The following is a 21,823-nucleotide window of genomic DNA, read 5'->3' as shown; positions in this document are numbered from 1 at the left end:
ACAGTATTGGGAGGTGTGGCCTTGAGAGGTGATTGAGTCAAGAGGGCTCCACCTTCATGAATGGGATTAGGTGCCCTTATATAATGAGGGAATTTATTCTTTCACCCTTCCGACTTCTGCCACATGAAGACACAGCATTCCTCTCCTTTAGAAGATGAAGCATTACAGATGACATCTTGGAAGCAAGGACAGGACCCTCATCAGACAATTAACCAGCTGGTGACTTGATCTTAGACTTCCTAGCCTCCGTAACTTTGAAAAATACATTTCTATAGTTTATAAATTATCCAGTCTCAGGTATTCTGTTATAGCAGCACAAAAGGAACCAAGACAATCTCTGTCTATTTAATCTAATGTCTATTTAATTTCTGTCTATTTAATCTAATGTTCCGTTGATTTACTTTGTTCCATTAAATGACACATAGTTGTGTGTTTCTTTGTATTCCCTGTGGTTATTTGTTGAAAACAGCATATTTGAATATTAAAAAGTGGTAACTCTAGAAATCAGATTCTTTGCTTTTCCCAGGGTGTGTTTTTTGTTTGTTTGTTTGTTTTTTATTTTGAAGGCTTTCGTAATCTATTTGTCTAGTAACTTTTCCCAACTATTTTGCAGAGATTGTATTCATTGCTGTGTGTTGGTTACCGAAGACTTTGTTTGGTAGCTATATGCATATAGTGTTTCAATATACATTTCTTTGAACACTAGGAGCTAGAAAACAAACAAACTATCAAAACTTGTGTTTCTTACTTTTTGCCAGTGGATTTCATGCTGCAGCTCTCTTTCAAAACTTTTAGCCAGATTTGCACTGAGTCTAGAGATTGGCCAAAGGTGAGAGCCCCTGATCTTCCAAAACTTTTTGATCATGCATCTTATCCTCATCATGTGTATAGCTTTCTAAGTTCCCCCATCTACACAGGTGACTTTGAACACCCTAATTTCCCAAATAACTGTCTAGCAGATTTTCCTCCCCGGTTTTAGGAATTCTATTTTATGTCTGTCTCAGCCATGAATATTAGCCCCAGACATCTGTGGTTTGTTATTCACCAATGTTTTCAAAAAATGCCTACTGCTTTTCTGGCCTTAGGTGAGTTCAGTGAAACAGAGATGAGTACATTTTTATTAGTCCTTCAGCTTGTCTCCAGGTAGCTAAGAACAGATTTACACGATAATTTATGAATAAGGCATGCTTTTTTTTTTTTTTTTCTGAATCCAAGGACCAGGATGGCACCCTAGCAACACGGACAGTTGTCTTCAGGACTAGGACTGCCACCAAACTGGGGAAGAGGTGTGACAAGAGCAAGTAACAATGCAACAGATCTCTTTCATTGTAAAGTTGCCTTTTTCTTGATTCAGTGTTCACCTGCTTGCTATAAATCTTTGGCTGTTTTTCAGAGTTCTGACAAAATTGGTTCTGACGGTTGTTCATTGTTCTTTAATGTTTTAGTTGTGAGAAAAGGAGCTTAGAGCTGCCTACTCCACCATTTTTTTTTGAAATCACTTCTGTGCCTGTCATATTTTATCCTCACTTAGAAATATTTCAAAATGCTACGCAGAGGGAAAAAAGCAATCTGTCTTCAAAATCTCTGTCTTCAGATGTTCAACAGGCCTGGGAATACGTGTGACCTTCACTGTGACAGGAATAAGTCTATCTTTCTAGGAAAATTGTTGGCTTTCTCTACATTTCCATGTTAGTAGATAGTTCCCAGATATAAGGTACAGGCAGAATTCACAAAAAGTCATTTGCAATTGTCACAAAAATATTATTTTGCTGTTGTAAACATTGGAATTAGGGAAATATCATAATTGTACATGTTTTAAATATATTACATTAAATACAAATCACCCTCTAAGGAAAAAAAAGGGACAGAAAAAAATCTTTAAATTTAAAATTACTGATTATTTTTAAAGAATTTGGGGCTCAGATAAAGCCTAATTAACATTGTTGGTTTAAAAGTTTTATTTTTAAAGTAAGAAGAAAGTCTAATGTGAGAGAAATGTTTTTTGAGACAATAAGGTCTAGTGAACTCTAATGTTTTAATCTACATACAAGTTTATTTATTGAAAACAATTCATCTTTTAACTCTTAAGACTCTAATAAATTTCGTTGTAATGATGAACAATTTAGGCATATTATTTTAATCATCTTAATATGTGATTATTTCTGGCTATCTTTAATTTTTCTTTTAGATTTTCTTTTTTTTTCTTAGACAGGATCTCACTTTGTTGCCCAATCTGGAGTGCAGTGGTGTCATCATGGCTCACTGCAGCCTTGACCTCCCAGGTTCAAACAATTCTCCCACCTCAGCCTCCCAAGTAGCTAAGACTAAAGGTACATGCCATCATACCCAGCTAATTTTTGTATTTTTTGTGGAGATGATCTTGCTGTGTTGAACAGGCTGGTCTTAAACCCCTGGGCTCAAGCAATCTTCCTGCTTGGGCCTCTTAAAGTGTTGGGATTACAGGCACGAGCCACTATACTTAGCCTTATCTTTAATTTTATAGGAGGCAATAAAATGAGCAGGGAAATGGATGACACAATTCTTTCTTTTTTTCTTAGACGGAGTCTCACTCTGTCGCCCAGGCTGGAGTGCAGTGGCACAATCTCGGCTCACTGCAAGCTGTGCCTCCTGGGTTCACGCCATTCTCCTGCCTCAGCCTCCCAAGTAGCTGGGACTATAGGTGCCTGCCACCATGCCCAGCTAATTTTTTGTATTTTTAGTAGAGATGGGGTTTCATCATGTTACCCAGGATGGTCTTGATCTCCTGACCTCGTGATCTGCATGCCTCGGCCTCTCAAAGTACTGGGATTACAGGTGTGAGCCACCACTTATTGTGAAATGTAATTTAAATGTAATTTTTCCTTTATTTCTTTCTCTAATTAACAACCGGAAATTCACAAATTTATTATCAGCCACTTTGTTAGAAAAATAATATTTGTATTTGCTCTTTCCTAATTAGGTAAATAGATAACATGGAAGATAGAGAATAATCTTTAAATTAAAATTCTATAAGTTGACTGCATTTGAGGTTTTATGTATTTAGCATAATTGAAATATTATATGAATACCCTAATGAGGCAGGTTCTTTCACCACTTAAGATAGTCCCAGAGAGCTATTCAGGAATTTTTGGAACCTAGGTTTCAATTATCAGGCTCAGTTGAACCACTTAGTTTTAGTTTTTTCTGAAGCATGGTTTAGTTAAATTGTTTCCTGAGGGCCTGATACACTTAAAAAAATGTCTTACAACTTTCTATAGTGTCAAAAATATCTTTAGAGAGGATCTTAAACACAAAAATTACCTAAAATATGGTAAACTGGTTTTGCATTTTCAAATGATGATATTCTCCTCCGAGTCTTTTATTTTCTTTGTTTTCTTTTTGAGAGAACTGATTACCGTTTTGAGCATAATCATATTTTATATTTAAATCAAATTTCAGAATTTGATTGTTTTAAAATAAATAATTGTAATAGTCCTAAAAAACACTCTCAGTCCATTTTTCTCCATACTTTAACTATCTTGAGGATTTCCTTGAACCTATTACAAAATGTCACAATTCTATTTTTTTCTAGAGCTTAGAAGCTTTCCATTGCCTTATTAAAATATGCTCTATGGTATTTATAAAATGGTGCATCACAGTAAATGAATGTTTGGCAGATGAATCACTAAATGAAAAGGAATATAGGGTAGTGGTTAATGTAGAGTAAGACAGTGAGGATTTGAATCTAACCTCTGCCATTTACAAGTCTTAAGACTTGTTATTTAGCCAATTTATATCTCAGTTTTGTCAACTATAAATTTGAGTATTGATATGGTTTGGCTGTGTCCCCACACAAATCATATCTTAAATTGTAGCTCCCATAATTCTCACTTGTTTTGGGGAAGGGACCTGATGGGAGGTAATTGAATCATGGGGGGTGGGTTTTTCCCCACGCTCTCCTCATGATAGTGAATAAGTATCACAAGATGTGATGGCATTATAAAGGGGAGTGTGCTCTCTTTGCCTGCTGCTATGTAAGACATGACTTAGCTCCTCATTCGCCTTTCGCCATGATTATGAGGCCTCCTGAGCCATGTGAAACTGTGAGTCAATTATACCTCTTTCCTTTATAAATTAGCCAGTCTTGGGTATGTCTTTATTAGCAGCGTGAAAACAAACTTATATACCAGTAGGCAATACATCCATGTAACCAAACTGCAAATGTACACCCCTACATCTATAAAATAAAAAAAATTTCTATTGTTGAAAACCCCAATAGGAAGAACATCATAAAAGTCTGGAAAAAACTAAAGTTCATATGGAACCAAAAAAAAGCCCGCATTGCCAAGTCAATCCTAAGCCAAAAGAACAAAGCTGGAGGCATCACGCTACCTGACTTCAAAGTATACTACAAGGCTGCAGTAACCAAAACAGCATGGTACTGGTACCAAAACAGAGATATAGACCAATGGAACAGAACAGAGCCCTCAGAAATAATGCTGCATATCTACAACCATCTGATCTTTGACAAACCTGACAAAAACAAGAAATGGAGAAAGGATTCCCTATTTAATAAGTGGTGCTGGGAAAACTGGCTGGCCATATGTAGAAAGCTGAAACTGGATCCCTTCCTTACACCTTATACAAAAATTTATTCAAGATGGATTAAAGACTTACATGTTAGATCTAAAACCATAAAAACCCTAGAAGAAAAGCTAGGCAATACCATTCAGGACATAGGCATGGGCAAGGACTTCATGTCTAAAACACCAAAAGCAATGGCAACAAAAGCCAAAATTGACAAATGGGATCTAATTAAACTAAAGACCTTCTGCACAGCAAAAGAAACTACCATCAGAGTGAACAGGCAACCTACAGAATGCGTGAAAATTTTTGCAACCTACTCATCTGACAAAGGGCTAATATCCAGAATCTACAATGAACTCAAACAAATTTACAAGAAAAAAACAACCCCATCAAAAAGTGGGCAAAGGATACGAACAGACACTTCTCAAAAGAAGACATGTATGTGCCAAAAGACACATGAAAAAATGTTCATCATCACTGGCCATCAGAGAAATGCAAATCAAAACCACAATGAGATACCATCTCACACCAGTTAGAATGGCAATCATTAAAAAGTCAGGAAACAACTGGTGCTGGAGAGGATGTGGAGAAATAGGAACACTTTTACACTGTTGGTGGGACTGTAAACTAGTTCAACCATTGTGGAAGTCAGTGTGGTGATTCCTCAGGGATCTAGAACTAGAAACACCATTTGACCCAGCCATCCCATCACTGGGTATATACCTAAAGGATTATAAAACATGCTGCTATAAAGACGCATGCACACGTATGTTTATTGTGGCACTATTCACAATAGCAAAGACTTGGAACCAGCCCAAATGTTCAACAATGATAGACTGGATTAAGAAAATGTGGCACACATACACCATGGAACACTATGCAGCCATAAAAAAGGATGAGTTCATGTCCTTTGTAGCGACATAGATGAAGCTGGAAACCATCATTCTCAGCAAACTATCACAAGGACAAAAAACCAAACACCGCATGTTCTCACTCATAGGTGGAAATTGAACAATGAGAACACGTGGACACAGGAAGGGGAACATCACACACTGGGGCCTGTTGTGGGGTTGAGGGAGCGGGGAGGGATAGCATTAGGAGATATACCTAATGTTAAATGAAGAGTTAATGGGTGCAGCACACCAACATGGCACATGTATACATATGTAACTAACCTGCACATTGTGCACATATACCCTAAAACTTAAAGTATAATAATAAAAAAAAAAGTCTGGAAGGATTACACTTTTGAAGATGCCATTACTGGTATAGAAACAGCCTTGAAAGTAATCAAGCCTTAAACAGTAAATTCCTGCTAGAGAAAACTACGTTCACATGTTGTGCATGACTTCACAGAATTTATAAAAAGCCAATCGAGGAAATCATGAAAGATGTGAATATAGCAAAAACAATGGGGTTTGGTGAAGAATGCCATGATATAGGTCATGGAGAAATAGAAGATCTAATAGTTACTACACCAGAGGAATTAAACGAAGATGACTTGATGGAGATGAGTGCTTCTGAACCACTGCCAGACAATGAAAAAGAAGACATAGAAACAGCCAGAAAATAAATGGATCTTAGGCAATTTGGCAGTAGGGTTCCAATTACTCAAGACTGCTTTTGATTCCTATGAAATGGTGGGCACTGAAACTAGAGAAAATGATAGAAGGATTAGTGTCATATAAAAATATTTTCAGAAAAATAAAAAAGCAAAAAGTCAAGCAAAAATCACAATGTATTTCCATAAAGTTACACCAAGTGTGCCTGCCTACTCTGCCTCTCCTTCAATCTCCTCCACCTCTTCTCTCTGCCCTGAGAAATCCAGACCTACTCCTCCTCTTCCTCTTCTTCCTCAGCCTACTCAACAGGAAGACGAGGAGGATGAAGACCTTTATTTTGATCCACGTTGACTTAATGATCAGTAAATATATTTTCTCTTTGTTATGTTTTCTTAATCACATTTTTTCCTCTAGCTTACTTTATTGTAAAAATATAGCATATGATAATATAACATACAAAATATGTGTTAATTGATTGTTTATGTTATCAGTAAGGATTTCAGTCAACAGTAGGTCTTTAGTAGTTAAATTTTTGGAGAACCAAAAGTTATACATGGATTTTTGACTGTGCAGGGGGGCTGTGCCACAATCCCCTTGCATTGCTCAAAAGTCAAATACACACACACACACACACACACACACACACACACATAGTTCTCTTTTTCCCATTATGTGACTGATTTTCATATTTATTTTCATGTGTGATTGCTTGTATTAAAATGTTGTATATCATTGAAAACATTACACATACATTTAAACTATGTGAAAATAACAAAGTTTTAAAAGTATTATATAAAATGTTAAAGACATTTACACCTAAATCTAAAAATTTCGAGAGTAAATTAACACACTTTAACAATGTTGGACTTACTCTGTGAAATATCAATATTATGAAAGTATTGAGAAAGATTTGAAATAGAAAAGAGGATATTTAAGATAATTAACAGATAATATCAGATAATATATGGGTTGAATACTACATTCCATATCTTATGTTCCTTTAAATAGATATATGATTTTAAGATAATGAAAAAGGATTAATATCTCAATAACTAATACATATGCAAAATGTCAATATATATATAACTTAGACAGTTTGGTCTGCTATTCCTGAGGTCAAAGATGGTGCATGCTAGGTCTGTTGTGTGTATTGCCAGGGTATCTCCAATGTTCAATCAAGGACCAAAGACTCCTCATTTAGCATGTGGTGAATGCCACCAGGCATGAGACTCTCACTACGGGTCAGTGGGCTCCCTTCTGGCCCAGGGCAGGTCCAGAAATGCTGCTAGAGAGCCAAGGCCTGGAATCAGGGCCCCAAGAATCTGCTTTAGTGCTCTACTGCACTATGGCTGAGCTGCTATATAAGGTACCTGACAAAGTCTACTTTAGTCTTCTCTCTGCTTTTCTCAAGCCAACAGAGTCTCTCCCTTTAGCCACCACAGGTAAGAATGTATTAGGTCTCACCTGAAACCAGCACATCTCTGAGTCTCACCCAAGGTCCATGGCAAGTACTGCCTGGCTATCACTGATGAATATTTTAGGGCCCAAGGGCCTCTTTAGGCAGCAGCGGCTGAATCCTGTGAGGACTGGGTCCTCTTTAAGGCAGTGGTTTTGCATGTGGCCCAGGCCGTTTCTAGAAATGTCCATGAGCTAGGGTCTAGAATGGAGGCCTGCTTGATGGCCTGTTTTACTGTGGCTGAGCTAGTATCCAAGTTGCAAGACAAAGTCCTCTTTACTTTTCCCTCTCCTGTCTCAAGCCAAAAGAAGTGGTGTCTCCCAGAGCTGTGAGCTGCATTGCCTGGGGTTGGGGAGGGATGACATAAGCATTCCCTTGGCTGCCCCAGGTCACAGGCCCCACAAATCCACTGGCTCCAAGCCCAGCACAGCACCAGGACTTGACCAGGAATTGTAGTCCTTGTGGCCTAGATTGTCTTTCAAGTTTATTTAGGACCCCAGAGTCCTTTAGCTCATAGTGGCAAGACTTGCTAGAACTCAGGTTCCGACCACTGGGATGGGCAATTCCCCTCTGGCTAGGGCTGGTATAAATGCCCCTTCTGTGGGCACTGACTGACTTCTGCCTGATGTTGCTTTCTGCTTTGACAGGGCAGCACTGAGGTTTAATGGAAATTCCCACAATTACTGTGTTGTCTCTTCCCCAAGCACACAGAATTTGTCTCCATGTAATGGGGCCACTGCTGGGAGATCAGAGAGGGGTGGCATCAGCTATTCAAGACTGTTATTCCTACCCTTTTCAGTGCTTCTTCCAGTGATAGAAAGGGAAAACCAGTTAAAATCAGGTGATCACTCCTGGGATCATAGAGACCACATTGCCACCAAAAATTTTAAAAGTAGCTGGGCATGGTGGTGCAGGCCTGTAATTCCAGCTACTTGGGAGGCTGAAGAGAGAGGATCACCCAAGCCTAGGAGATCAAGGCTACAATAAGCCATGATTGTGCCACTGCACTCCAGCAAGGGTGACAGAGCAAGACCCTATCTCAATAAGAAACAACAAACAAAACAAACAAAAAACAAAAACAAAAACTCAAGAATGGGCTAAAAACCACCTAGTGTATGCTGTTCTGTTGTAGCTGCCTAAATGGACTGAGACAGTTTGTTTGAAAACTGACTTGTGTAATTCCCTAATATTCACCCTTGTTAATCACCAATATTGATTAGTTCCAAGGCATACTTGGGCCCAGCTGTGCATCCTCCCGTTTTGGTTCTGCCACCTCTCCAACTACCATGGAGCAGGCTTGGCTCAATGTATAGAAAATGGCAACCCGATCTCTCAACTTCTTGCCATTCCCTTTACCCCATATTATAATCTCCTCTAGGACCTCAGGGTTTAGAAATCAAAAGTCAGAAAAACAAGTGTGTTCAGAAAACTCCGATAGTCCTGTAGTACCCACCTATCTTGACACAACAGAGCATGGGGGTGCCTTTGTCTGTGTTTTCTGCAATGGTGTCCATAGGGAATCTTGAGAAAGTTAACCTGGCGAATGTTCACTGACAAGTTTTATACTCCGAAAATGGATTAAAAATTATACTGTTAATCTAGCAGCTGTTTATCTATGAGACAATGAGAGTAATCTGGGCATTAGAGGTCTTTTGATATAGAGTGTCTCATTTTGATGTTTATTTTTTCAGCATTTGTATACCATTATCCTATTTACTAAAGAGGAAATGACCACTCTCTGGCATTGGTGTTAAGTGCTAAAAGCACAATCAGAAAGTGAATGAGTATAGCAGTTAAAGGCCAGAAAGAAACAAATACCTTAGGCGTCCCAGTTAGTTTTTGGTTTTGACCAAATGGTAGAGTTCTGTGCCGATTATGATGTGCATCTGGACAGCCACAGACCTTACTGATTTAAGGTAGACCTGGCAACATGAAGAAAAATAAGGGCTTTCAAAAATGGAAATAATAAAGCACCTTTCCCCTTCATCTTCAACTGTGATAGAAAGGGAGGCTGCTGAAATTGCAAGCAGCAATAGTAATGTGCAAAATAATTATGCTCGCATAATCTGTCTGTAATTCACTCAGACTCCATTCTCTCTCTCTCATTCCCAAACATGCATCTTCCTTAATATTCACTTGGAAAATTTCTCTCCTCTCTTCTATTTACCTACTTGCTCATGGGAGTTATATTTGGAATACAATCGCCGTTTATTTTCTAAATAGTTTAAATTTTTATCACTATTTTATTATTTCCTAATTGCGAAGAACATTATACTATGTATGAAGAGTGAGATACAAATATAAAATTTTATTTCCAATACAAAATTTAAAGAATTTTATGAACATAAAACAAGTGCCAATGGGGAGTATCCCAATTAAAAGATTAATTTGATGTCTCATTTCTTCAATTGCTTCCTCTCAAAAAAAAAAAAAAAACCAGAAAAACAAGAGTTTGACTTCCACTGTTCATTGTTTTCTACTTTTGAGTAATATACTTGTTTGATTACACACACACACACAAACACATGTCTGTGTATATTTATACATTTATTCAAAACCATATCAGTCAAATGTAATAAACTGGGTCACATAATAACGTCCATAGAAACAAAAGAAATCAGTGAGTGGATGGGGATGGAGTGAAAGAGATAGGAAAATAGCTAAACCTTATGGATTTTGAACCAGAATGCTAGTTAGGAACAAAACCCTGTTATCAAACAGGACATACCCCATCAATGTAGCTTAGCTCCTGGTGCTTTTATTGTTTCGCCATCTAATCAATCCTGTCACTATACTTTGGTTCCTGTCTCAAGGCAAATCATTTGATATGCCTATTTAATAGTCATCACCTCTATTCAAGCAGAGTCTCCTACAATCATATTTAGAAGTTTCCAGGATTACTTTGAAATTCTTCAAAATTGTATCTTAAAATTTCTAGTGATATCCATTTATCCTTTAAATTATAGGTCAATCCCATCAAAATCTCTTTTCTTAAATTTTGCAAATTACTTAATAAATGTTTAGTTCAATCCAAAGACAACCTCTTAAAAATATGTAAACAAGCTGGCAAAAATAGTATATTTTTAAAGAATTAGAAAAGCCAAGAGTGATAGGGTAAATAATTCATCAAATTGAATATCCAAATTTAGAGAAGCAAAAAAAATTTAAATACAAGTGGAAACAAGTTTTTATTTCTGAAAATGTTTATGGGGCATGGCTGCTCTTCATCCCTACCTTTTAATACTGACTTTCCATGTTGCCCTAGTTTGTACTCAAGAGCTAGCTGCTGTTCTTTGCCTGGTGATCAAAACTAAAGCTCTTTTCCAGTCATGAGAGTTCTTGAAATGTGTCTATCAGCATGTACGATTTAGCGAATTCATTTAATGGCTGAAGTATTTTACATGCATTATTTCATTTTTACCTCAAAATAGCCCAATATGGTAAATATTAGTTACACAAAAGTCTTGGAAATATTTACACATACAATTTTCACATAACAACTATTGTCTATTTTCGTAGGTGATATGATTTGGCTGTGTTCCCACCCAAATCTCACCATGAATTGTAACTCCCACAATTCCCCTGTGTCATGAGAGGGACCCAGTGGGAGGTAATTGAATCATGGGGGTGGGTCTTTCTCCTGCTGTCCTCATGATAGTGAATAAGTCTCACAGGTCTGATGGTTTTATAAAGAGGAGATCCCCTGAACAAGTTCCCTGTTTTTGCCTGCGGCCATCCATGTAAGATGTGACTTTGCTCCTCTTTGCCTTCTGCCATGATTTTGAGGCCTCCCTAGCCATGTGGAACGGTGGGCCAATTAAACTTCTTTTCTTTCTAAATTCTCCAGTCTTGGGTATGTCTTTATCAACAGCATGAAAAAAGACTAATAGAATAGGTATGTTCTTATTCATATAGTGATGCAACATATATTGGTAAACAAGTTTTCTCTTTAAATATTATCATTAAATAATTTTAAAAAATGTAATGTTAAATAATTTTAATGTAAGTTCATTTTATTTTCATGTGGAGCACCAATGCATTACTTTCTTGGAAATAAGAAGTAATTAACTTCACTTTAAATTCCTATCATGATCTAAAATCATGTTAGAAAAATAACCCATCAAATCTGAATACATTAATTAACAACACCATAATGTCTAACATAATAATCTGCTGAGGATAAGTCGGAGAAGTTATGGGGTAAGTTGACTGATTGCAATTGATCTGAAATTATCTGTTCATTACCACACTACAACTTTGACAGCTTAACATGTAAACCTTCATAATGATAGTGAAGCCTATAACACTACACTATACATAAAGATGTGGTTTGACAAAATTCGAGGTGTTTACTCATAAGATACTAAAGCTTGACTATACTTTTGAATATAGTTTAGAAAACTATATTCAACTGCATGTTTATCAGTAATTGAAGCTGTGTTTTTTTAACTAATCTAAAATGTGAGCATTCCTCTAAGAGCATATATTTATGATTTTCTAATATTTTATATATGCATACATTTGACTATTTAAACAACTATTTAAATATAATTTGATAATATTGCACAATGTCTATGAGTAATTAAATACTGAAAAAATCTTTTAAAGTAATTTTATGGAAAATATTGCAAGTATAATCACATTGAGATAGAGCTATTATTATAACTTCTTGGGTTTTAAAAATGTTTTGGATATTTGTTACACTTGAATGTATTCTATCCCTTCAGTAAATCAGTGTGATTAAAATTTTAATTACAAAATTTATTTTGAAAACTTTAGTAAAATTTTATTTACTTTAGTAGCCCTAGGATTTCTGAAGAAGCCATGTGAATCTTGTTGTAAGTAAAAAGCATTTAATTTAATAAAGACTCCAATAGGCTCTGTTGGAAATGACATGTCTGAGACATATAATGGAAACTTTGTCTCAATTCATTGCTGTACATTGCTGTTTTTTTTGTAATGTGTTGGTGGATGATTAGGGAGGCATTAGAATGTGAAACAACATGAGTAAGTATCTTAAATACTTCTCACTGTTCTTCTTTAAGAATGAAAATAGGTCTTTCTTAGCCAGGTGTGGTGGCAGGCACCTGTAATCCCGCTACTCGGATGGCTAAGGCAGGAGAATCGCTTGAAGCCGGGAGGTGGAGGTTGCAGTGAGCCGAAATTGCGCCACTGCACTCCAGCCTGGGCGACAGAGCGAGACTCCATCTCAAAAAAAAAAAAAAAAAAAAAAAAGAAGAAGAAGAAAAAAAGAAAATAGGGCTGGACGCGGTGGGCTCACTCCTGTAATCCCAGCACTCTGGGAGGCCTAGGTGGGCAGATCACGAGGTCAGGAGATCGAGATCATCCTGGCTAACACGGTGAAACCCCGTCTCTACTAAAAATACAAAAAATTAGCCAGGCGTGGTGGCGGGTGCCTGTAGTTCCAGCTCCTCGGGAGGCTGAGGCAGGAGAATGGCGTGAAACCCGGAGGCGGAGCTTGCAGTGAGCCGAGCTCGCGCCACTGCACTCCAGCCTGGGCGACAGTGCGAGATTCCTTCTCAAAAAAAAAAAAAAAGAAAATTGGTGTTTCCATAGATTTAAACTTTCTTAGAAGTCATTTTGTTTCCGTGCTCCTACTGCCAAAATAACTTAAATACTGAATTTTAAAAATCAAGAAAAATGTAAAATATACAAAAGTCCCAGGATATGTATTTTCTTTTTGGAAGTATGCAAGTTCATAGAATTGATACTGTCTATAATCAGATGATTGTAAGGAGACATGAGGTAAGAAACTATTTTAGGTTTATAAAAGTAGATACTCACTAATGCAACAGCATTTCCTTAAATCAGTCATACAACGTTAATGAATTTTGCGGCCATAATTGAAAGAAACTAGGAGAGATTAAAAGTGAATCACTTCTCAAAATACACTTGGGTGTACTGAAATTGCCTAATGAAAACATGAACATTAAAATAAAGAATTAGCCAGTGCAGTGGCTCATGCTTGCAATCCCAGCACTTTGGGAGGCCGAAGAGGGTGGATGGCTTGAGCTCCCGGGTTGGAGGCCACCCTGGATAACATGGCAAAACACTATCTCTACTCAAAAAGATACAGAAATTAACTAGGCATGGTGGTGTGAGTTTGTAGTCCCAGTTATTCCAGTGGTGGAGGCAGGAGGATCGCTTGAGCCTGGGAGGCATAGGATGAAGTGAGCCCAGATCGCACCACTGCACTCCAGCCTGGGAAACAGGAGAATTTGTCTAAAAAAAAAAAAAAAAAAGATAAAGTAAAAATATATAAATTATAAACATAATTTATAAGAAACAAATTTATATAGGTCTACAACATAAGGACCTCTATAGCTGCTCCCAAATAGAATAACAATTTCTAATTTCCTGAGTATCCTTTTAATACCTCAAATTATTTTTAATTGTCTAAACATGAAAATGGTGAACTAATTTTTCCCACAGTGTTCTGTATGAGGCTGTGTTTCAACAGACTATCGCAAGAAGTTGCTTTATTCAAAACATTTTCGAATAATTGATATGCATTTCCAAAGGATTGCTCTAGCAAAATATAAACTTTTGATACTGATGATAGTGAAAACTATGTATTTTTCAATAACAAAATACAAAATTAAAAAATACCAATTAGAGAAGCAATGTATCTATTTCTAAATCTTTCAAATGTTTAATGGAAAGTGATCAGGCCTCTTCTGTATAAGGTAAAATAGAAAAAAAGACAACGAGTCATAGAGATTATTAACAATATAGGAGAGAAATTTGTCTTTTACCTACTTCATGCTTGTATCTACCACCATAACTCAAAATACTATGACAGGAGGGAATAGTAATTGGCATATGGCTCCCAAATGACTCTAATAAGGAAGTACATATAATTGGTGCTGTTGGCACCAATCCTATAATTAAGAAGATATGAGATTTATGATGCAGCTGATATTGTGGATGAGAAAAGACCCTGATGCCTGAGGTTGTTATGAAGCCTATGGATCAACCAACCTGCAGATACTTGTTAAAATCATACATTTTCATTGAAATGTGAAAGGTCATAATTGATTTAAAAGAACAGATATGTTCTTTGAATACTTACATTACTTATGTTGATTATGCCACTGAAAATGATGTGACTGGTTTTAAACTGTTCTAGATTTAAAGAAAGAATTAGTGTGTTGAACATTTTTCATATTTCTGGTTTGTCATTTGTATGTCTTCTTTTAAGAAATATCTATTTGGATACCTTGCCCACTTTTTAATCCAAAATTTGTTTGGATTAAAACAGACCATTATTTGTATGTTTTCTTTCTATGATTTGTTTCTTTCTATGGAAAGAAACAAATTTGTTTTCTTTGTTTAGAAAAAAAAATTGTTTTCCTTCTGTAGAATTGTTTGAGTTTTATAGAATTTGTTTTCTTTCTGTAGAATTGTTTGAGTTCCTTATATATTTCGGATATTAATCCCTTATCAGATGTATGTCTTGCAAATATTTTCTCCCGATCTGTAAGTTTTCTCTTTATTCTGTTGTTTCCTTTGTTGTACAGCTTTTTATTTCTATGTAATTCCACTTGTCTGTTTTTGCTTTTGTTGTTTGCACGTTTGGGGTCAAATCTAAAATACCATTGCACAGATTAATGTCATGTAATTTTTTCCCTTGTGTTTTCTTATAGTAGTTTTACAGTTTGAGGTCTAACGTTTAAGTCTGTATTTCATTTTGAGTTGATTTTTCTGTATGATGTGAGATAAGGGTCCATTTTTCAGCCTTCTGTATATTTCAATTTACATTTAAAAATTAAAAAATAAATGTACTGATATATGGTACAAAAAGGATGAAAGCATACTAATTCAAAATGCCAATTACAAAGGACCATACATTGTATGATTCATAAGAAATGTTCAGGATAGGCAAATCTATAAAGACAGAAAGCAGATTAGTGTTTGCTTTAAGCTGGGTTGTATGGAAAGGTTTTAGAGGGTTTTTTGGAAGGAAATAATTAAATGCTCCAAAATCGATTGCGGTGATGCATGCACAACTCAGAATATACTAAAAGCCATTGAATTGTACACTTTAAATGCGGGAACTTTATGGTCTAGGGATTATATCTCAAAGCTGGCAAACATTTTTAAAAATAAAGAAAAAGACAGTAAGTAATGAAGAAAACTTTCTAGAAGATTTTACTTTCTGAAATTAATTATCATGCAGTATTAACAGTCTTGTAATCATTTTGGGGTGACTGCCATGACTAACTCAATCAATGAGTCTTAATCTTTCCTATAGAACCAAGAAACAACAAAAGAGAAAACTGGATCAAAGACTATATAAATATACAAGTCATTTAAATTAGTTTTCTCTATTTTATGTTAAAATATTAATATTACGTTAAACTCTAGAAAATAGAAATTTGGGATACATGTGCAGAAGTAAAAAATAAATAAATAATAAAATGCACTGAAAAAAACACAAATTTGAGAATTTTGTTCTGGATTAGGTTAAGTGCATAGTAGTTCTGGGTATTGTTGACACAAAACTTCTCCTATAATCAATTCTGTATGATGCCAGTGGATTTAGTATTCAAACGAAATCTGTTTGTGCACCTCTCCTGTTTAAAAGTTTTATTGGTTCTTTTTACCTGGCATCAAGACTACCCATAGTTGGACCCATTTTAGACTCATTTTACAGATTACCCGCCCATGCAATATATAACTTTGTCCAGAATTTCACAAATCTTTTTGGTCAGATAATATTATTTATTTTATTTTAAGTATTATAATGACACAGTATCTGTGTACAAAATATATACACTTATCTTTAATAATTTATGTAAAGTATATTTCATTTTACTTTTATAAAGTAGCAAAGATGGTTGAAAACTCATATTAATGTTGTGTCAAATGTTTCGTGTGATTTTACCCTATTAAAGAACACAAAAAATAAATATTAATTAATATATATCACAAACTGCTTAACAAATCCTCTTCTCTTTTTACTTTGCTTTTCCTATCTCTTCTCCTAGGTAAATTTCAATAGTGCATAGGGCTTATGTTTTTTAAACATAATTGTGTTTTAATCTCCAATCTAGTTCCTTGCTTGAGATAGGACGTGTTGATTCAAGACATAATCACAAGATATGTAGAGATTGCTATACCTGAAATTGTTGTTAGTGGAAAAACCGCATTTTCTATTCTTATTCTTTTATTTGAATGTAATTATTTTAGAAATACTAGGGACCTGGGGCCTTTAGGGAGTGTGGTGGGAGGGAAAGCATCAGGATAAATAACTAATGCACGTGGGGTTTAATACCCAGGTGATGGGTTGACAGGTGCAGCAAACCACCATAGCACACATTTACCTATAAAACAAATCTGCACGTCCTGCACATGTATCCTGGAACTTAAAATTAAATTAAATTGAATTAAAAAAAAGAAATACTAGGAAATATTCTTTCCCTTTGCCCTCCTTTCACTCTTTCCTGGGGAGAAAAGACAGGATTTGCATGCTTCCCTTTGGTTTCTTGAAGACAATATTAAATTCTGTTCTGGAGAGTCAGCTACTTCACCCGATTCTGGTGTCCCGGCCAAGGTCAATTACCTGCTTTGTGGTCAGGGTCTGCATGCGTGGGAGGAGCCTGCTGTTATCCAGATTTGCCAGTGAACATTTGAAAATGATTTTTTCAAACTCAGGGAAAAAATATTGACTGTCCTAGTAAACACAGATTTACAGACATATTTTGTGGTCAGTATCAACAGCCAATATATCCCTACCATACCATACCATATTTTTTGGTTAGTTACACATAAGTTCAGTAGTGATGTAATCATGGTGAGGAACTGAGGCTTCTCCCATCAACCAGCATTAACTTGCAATCATTTGAATGAGTTACCTTAAAAGTGTACCATCCACACCTGTTCAAGGATTGAGTGAAGTCCCAGACAACATCTTAACTGCAACATCATAAAAAACTTAAGAGGCAGGACTACCTAGTTAAGACACTGAAATTCTTGGCTCTGATAAATTGTGTGAGACAAATATGTTTATTGTTATTTAAAGACACTATTTTTGTGGTTAATATTTTACATACAATAGGTACCTAATACAGGTGTGTTATTAATTAAAATGAATATTTATTTTTGAGATACAAATATTCATGATAATTTGTTATATAGCAATGGGTATCTATCTACACAGGGGTGTCACTAATTGTCCTTCATCAAAGCCCAAATTCAATACCCCTAACTTTCATAAAGGAAAACCAATCTACCTTTCTCATCTCCATAAGTAGAATTACCAGCAGTGATGTTCCTCAAATGTACCTGAGACTTCCTTTTGTTCTTCTACTGTATGTATATAATCAGTCATCAATTCATTCATGTTGTTTCTTGTAATTTTTAATCAAATTTTTAATATGCTGAACCTCTTAAAAAGCAACCTATGTTAAGTCACCCTAGATTATAATTTATGTGCTGAGTCTCACTTGGTTTCTTCAAAAACCTTAAATACATTCTCTGCAACACAGCAAATAGGAATATTTATGAATTTAAAAATGCTTCACTTATAAACACTGTTATATTTAACACCTTAGGGTCTTGAACATGTAGATTTCATCACATAATTTTTATAGTTGTCCATGTTTATGGTTCTGCTTCCTCTTTCATCATTATCTTCTCTACCTTTTGCTTCATGAGCTTAATCAGATGGTGCTCTATATGGAATGTATCTTCTAGGTATTAGCTCCTAGTGTGGAACAATTAATTTAGTGCTTGGTTCCGGATTCTCACCTCTTGACTTAATGAATTCATTTCTTCAATTTTTATAAACAAAAACACCAGAATATATTTTATTTTACATCACTGAGACAAGAGAATACTTTTGCTAGTCAGTCTAAGTAGTAATTTTTCCTTCTCAAGAGATGTGCTGTATGTGGAAGTATTCAGGATATAGACCATGTTGTCTACAATGTCTTTCAAATGGTTCAGGAAATAACTCTTTTCTTTTTCTTTTTCTTTTTTTTTTTTTTTGAGATGAAGTTTCACTCTTGTTGCCCAGGCTGGAGTATAATGGTGCAATCTCAGCTCACTGCAACCTCTGCCTCCCGGGTTCAAGCAATTCTCCTACCTCAGCGTCCCAAGTAGTTGGGATTAGAGGCAGGTGCCACCACGCCCAGATAATTTTGTATTTTTAGTAGATATGGGGATTCACCATGTTGGTCATGCTGGTCTCGAACTCCAGACCTCAGGAGATCTGCCCCACCTCGGCCTCCCAAACTGCTGGAATTACAGGTGTGAGCCACCACACCCAGCCCTATTTTCTTAATATATATAGAAATAAAGAAGGCAGAATTTTAAAAATTAATGAATCTAAGCAAAGGGTAATTAGGTATTGATTATAGTCTTGAAAATTTACTATAATTTTATATTGTTCAAAATATTTTAAAGATAAAAGTAAGTTCTTATGCAATAACAGGGACCAAATTCCCATCTGAAACAACTGAAAACCAACATAAATATATGAAAAAAATTGTTCAAAGATATTGGATAAATAATAAGTAAATCTAATAATCGCTAAGCGTCAATGAGCAAACCAACCGAAACCTAAAAATTTCCCAGCTTACTAGCCAGAAAGAATCCAGGCTATGACATACAGAGGAGGAACCCAGGAAGTACTCCCTGAATTGAGGAGACTGAGATAGTAATCCAGGGAAGCCAATGTGTCTCGAGTTTGTAGGTCACAAAACCAACATGCCAACGAACAAAAAGCTGTGCAGAGAAAAGACATTGCGGATGTGCAAATTTCTCATCATACCTTACAGATCTGAGTATAGATTCAGATACATGTAAGAGAAATTCACCTGAGGTGAGGGAAAAATTGCCTGAAATGCTTAGAAGTAACTGTGCCAAAACACACGTGACAAGTAAGAAGGGCCTTACTTTGGTACCCACAAAAAATTAGCCAGAGACAAAGTGAACACTGCATAAGCAAAGCATAAATACTCAAGAGAATCGAATTGGTTTTAAGTAACTTAACTGAATCCCCCAATAGTCTCAAGAATATTTATTTAGCAAAGCAAATATTTAGCACCCAACAGGGTAAATTCACATTATCTAGTATGCACTCAAAATTACCTGACATTCAAAAAGGCAGAGAAATACAACTCATGGTTAAGAAAAATATAAAATTAACCAAAAATAACCAAAACAAAATGACAGTCATAATAAATTAGTAGAAAAATCTTAAAATACTTTAAAAATAAGAATTTTGAAAGAGTCTAAACAAAATGAAACATAGCAAAATTATTATTTCATCCAATTATATCTGTATCATTGAAAAGCCAAAATAAAACCTGTTTCCCTGTATTTATTTACCCAGTGAACATATATTTCAAAAAGAAAGTGAAAAACTTTGCTTAATATATAAAAACTTAAAGACTTCATCACCAGTGGATATGCACTATAGTATATTTTAAGGAGTCCTTAAAACAGAAGAAAATGGTAGCAGATAGAAACCTGGATATATAAAGAGTACTGTCAATGGTAGCTACATGGATTGCTATAAGAACTTTTACCTCTTATCCTTAATTGATCGTTTAAAGTAAAAATACTAATGGTATTTTTAGAGTCTAAAACATATGTACCAGGAACATCACAAAACTTGGTAGGGAGAAATGGAAATACACTTTTGTAAGAGACTTCATGCAAAACTTGAAGGTATATTGTGACAACTTAAAGCTGCATACTATAAACCTTAGAGTAACCACAGAAATAATGCAAAGTGCTATAGCTAATAACCTGGAAAAGGTGATGAACTAGATAAAATGAATAGAATAATATTTAAACCCAAAGAACGTTACAAAAAGAGGAAAGAAAAAAAAAGGAATGAAGACACAAAAAGAAAAAAATAGCAAAATGGTAGACAGAATATTTGCTTTACAAAGATGTGATGTCCTAATTCCCATAACCAGTAAATATGTTATTTTACATGGCAATAAGAACATTGCATATATGTCTAAGTTAATGATTTTAAGAGAGGGAGATTATCCTGAATTATTAAGTTGAGCTCAGTGTAATCACAAGTTTGTAAGAGAGAGAGAGAAGTTTCAATGTCAGAGAAGCAACATGACAACAGAAGCATAGGTATGTGTTTGTGTGTGTGTGTGTGAGAGAGAGAGAGAGAGACAGAGAAAGGGAGAGAGAGATTTAAAGATTCTTTACTTTTGTTCATTTGATTTCATTTTTTTAATCTTCAACTTTTCAGTTCAGGGGTACACATGCACGATGTGCAGGTTTGTTACATGGGTAAACATGTGCCTTGGTGGTTTGCTGCACAGATCAACCCATCACCTAGGTATTAAGCCCAGCATTCATTAGCTATTCTTCCTAATGCTCTCCCTCGCCCCTACTCCATCCCCGTGATAGGGCCCAGTGTGTGTTGTTCCTCTCTCTGTGTTCTCATTGTTCAGCTCCCACTTATAAGTGAGAACATGTGATGCTGGTTTTCTGATCCTGCATTAGTTTGCTGAGGATAACGGCTTCCAGCTCCATCCATGTTCCTGCAAAGGACATGATCTCATTCCTTTTTATGGCCGCATGGTATTCCATGTGTATAGGTACCACATTTTCTTTATTCAGTCTATTATTTATGGGCATTTGGGTTGATTCCATGTCTTTGCTATTGTGAATAGTGCTGCAATAAACATACACATGCATGTATCTTTATAATAGAATGATTTACATTCCTTTGGATATATACTCAGTAATGGGACTCCTGGGTCAAATGGAATTTCTGCCTCTAGATTTTTGAGGAATCGCCACAGTCTTCCATGATGATCGAACAAATTTACACTCCCACCAATAGCATAAAAGTGTTCCTTTTCCTCCACAACTGAGCCAGCATCAGTTTTTTTGACTTTTTAATAATCACCATTCTGATTGGTGTGAGATACTGTGTCATTGTGGTTTTGATTTGCATTTCTCTAATGATCAGTGATGTTGAGCTTCTTTTCATATATTGGTTGGTTGCATATATGTCTTCTTTTGAGACGTGTCTTTTCGTGTCCTTTGCCCACTTTTCTTGTAAACTTGTTAAAGTTTCTTACAGACTCTAGGTATTAGGCCTTTGTCAGATGGATAGGTTGCAAAAATTGTCTCCTGTTTTGTAGATTGTCTGTTCACTCTGATGATAGTTTATTTTGCTGGGCAGAAGCTCTTTTTAATTAGATCCCATTTGTCAATTTTTGCTTTTGCTCCA

The 21,823-nt window shown here is 35.7% G+C and overlaps 1 long non-coding RNA gene across 1 annotated transcript in view; it reads right to left on the bottom strand.

Annotated features, from left to right (window-relative positions):
- The window catches only part of LINC01684 (long intergenic non-protein coding RNA 1684), a 119,203-nt gene that overhangs the window by 7,773 nt on the left and 89,607 nt on the right, over positions 1 to 21,823 (bottom strand). The window contains exon 2 of the long non-coding RNA NR_135519.1: positions 9,403 to 9,506. This is a non-coding gene — a long non-coding RNA (long intergenic non-protein coding RNA 1684). The remainder of the gene's footprint in view (positions 1 to 9,402; positions 9,507 to 21,823) is intronic.

This window comes from Homo sapiens, chromosome 21, assembly GCF_000001405.40.
Source record: "Homo sapiens chromosome 21, GRCh38.p14 Primary Assembly".
NCBI lineage: Eukaryota > Metazoa > Chordata > Mammalia > Primates > Hominidae > Homo > Homo sapiens.
Note: the sequence above shows the minus strand (reverse complement) of the source record. Positions and strands in the feature narration are given on the sequence as shown.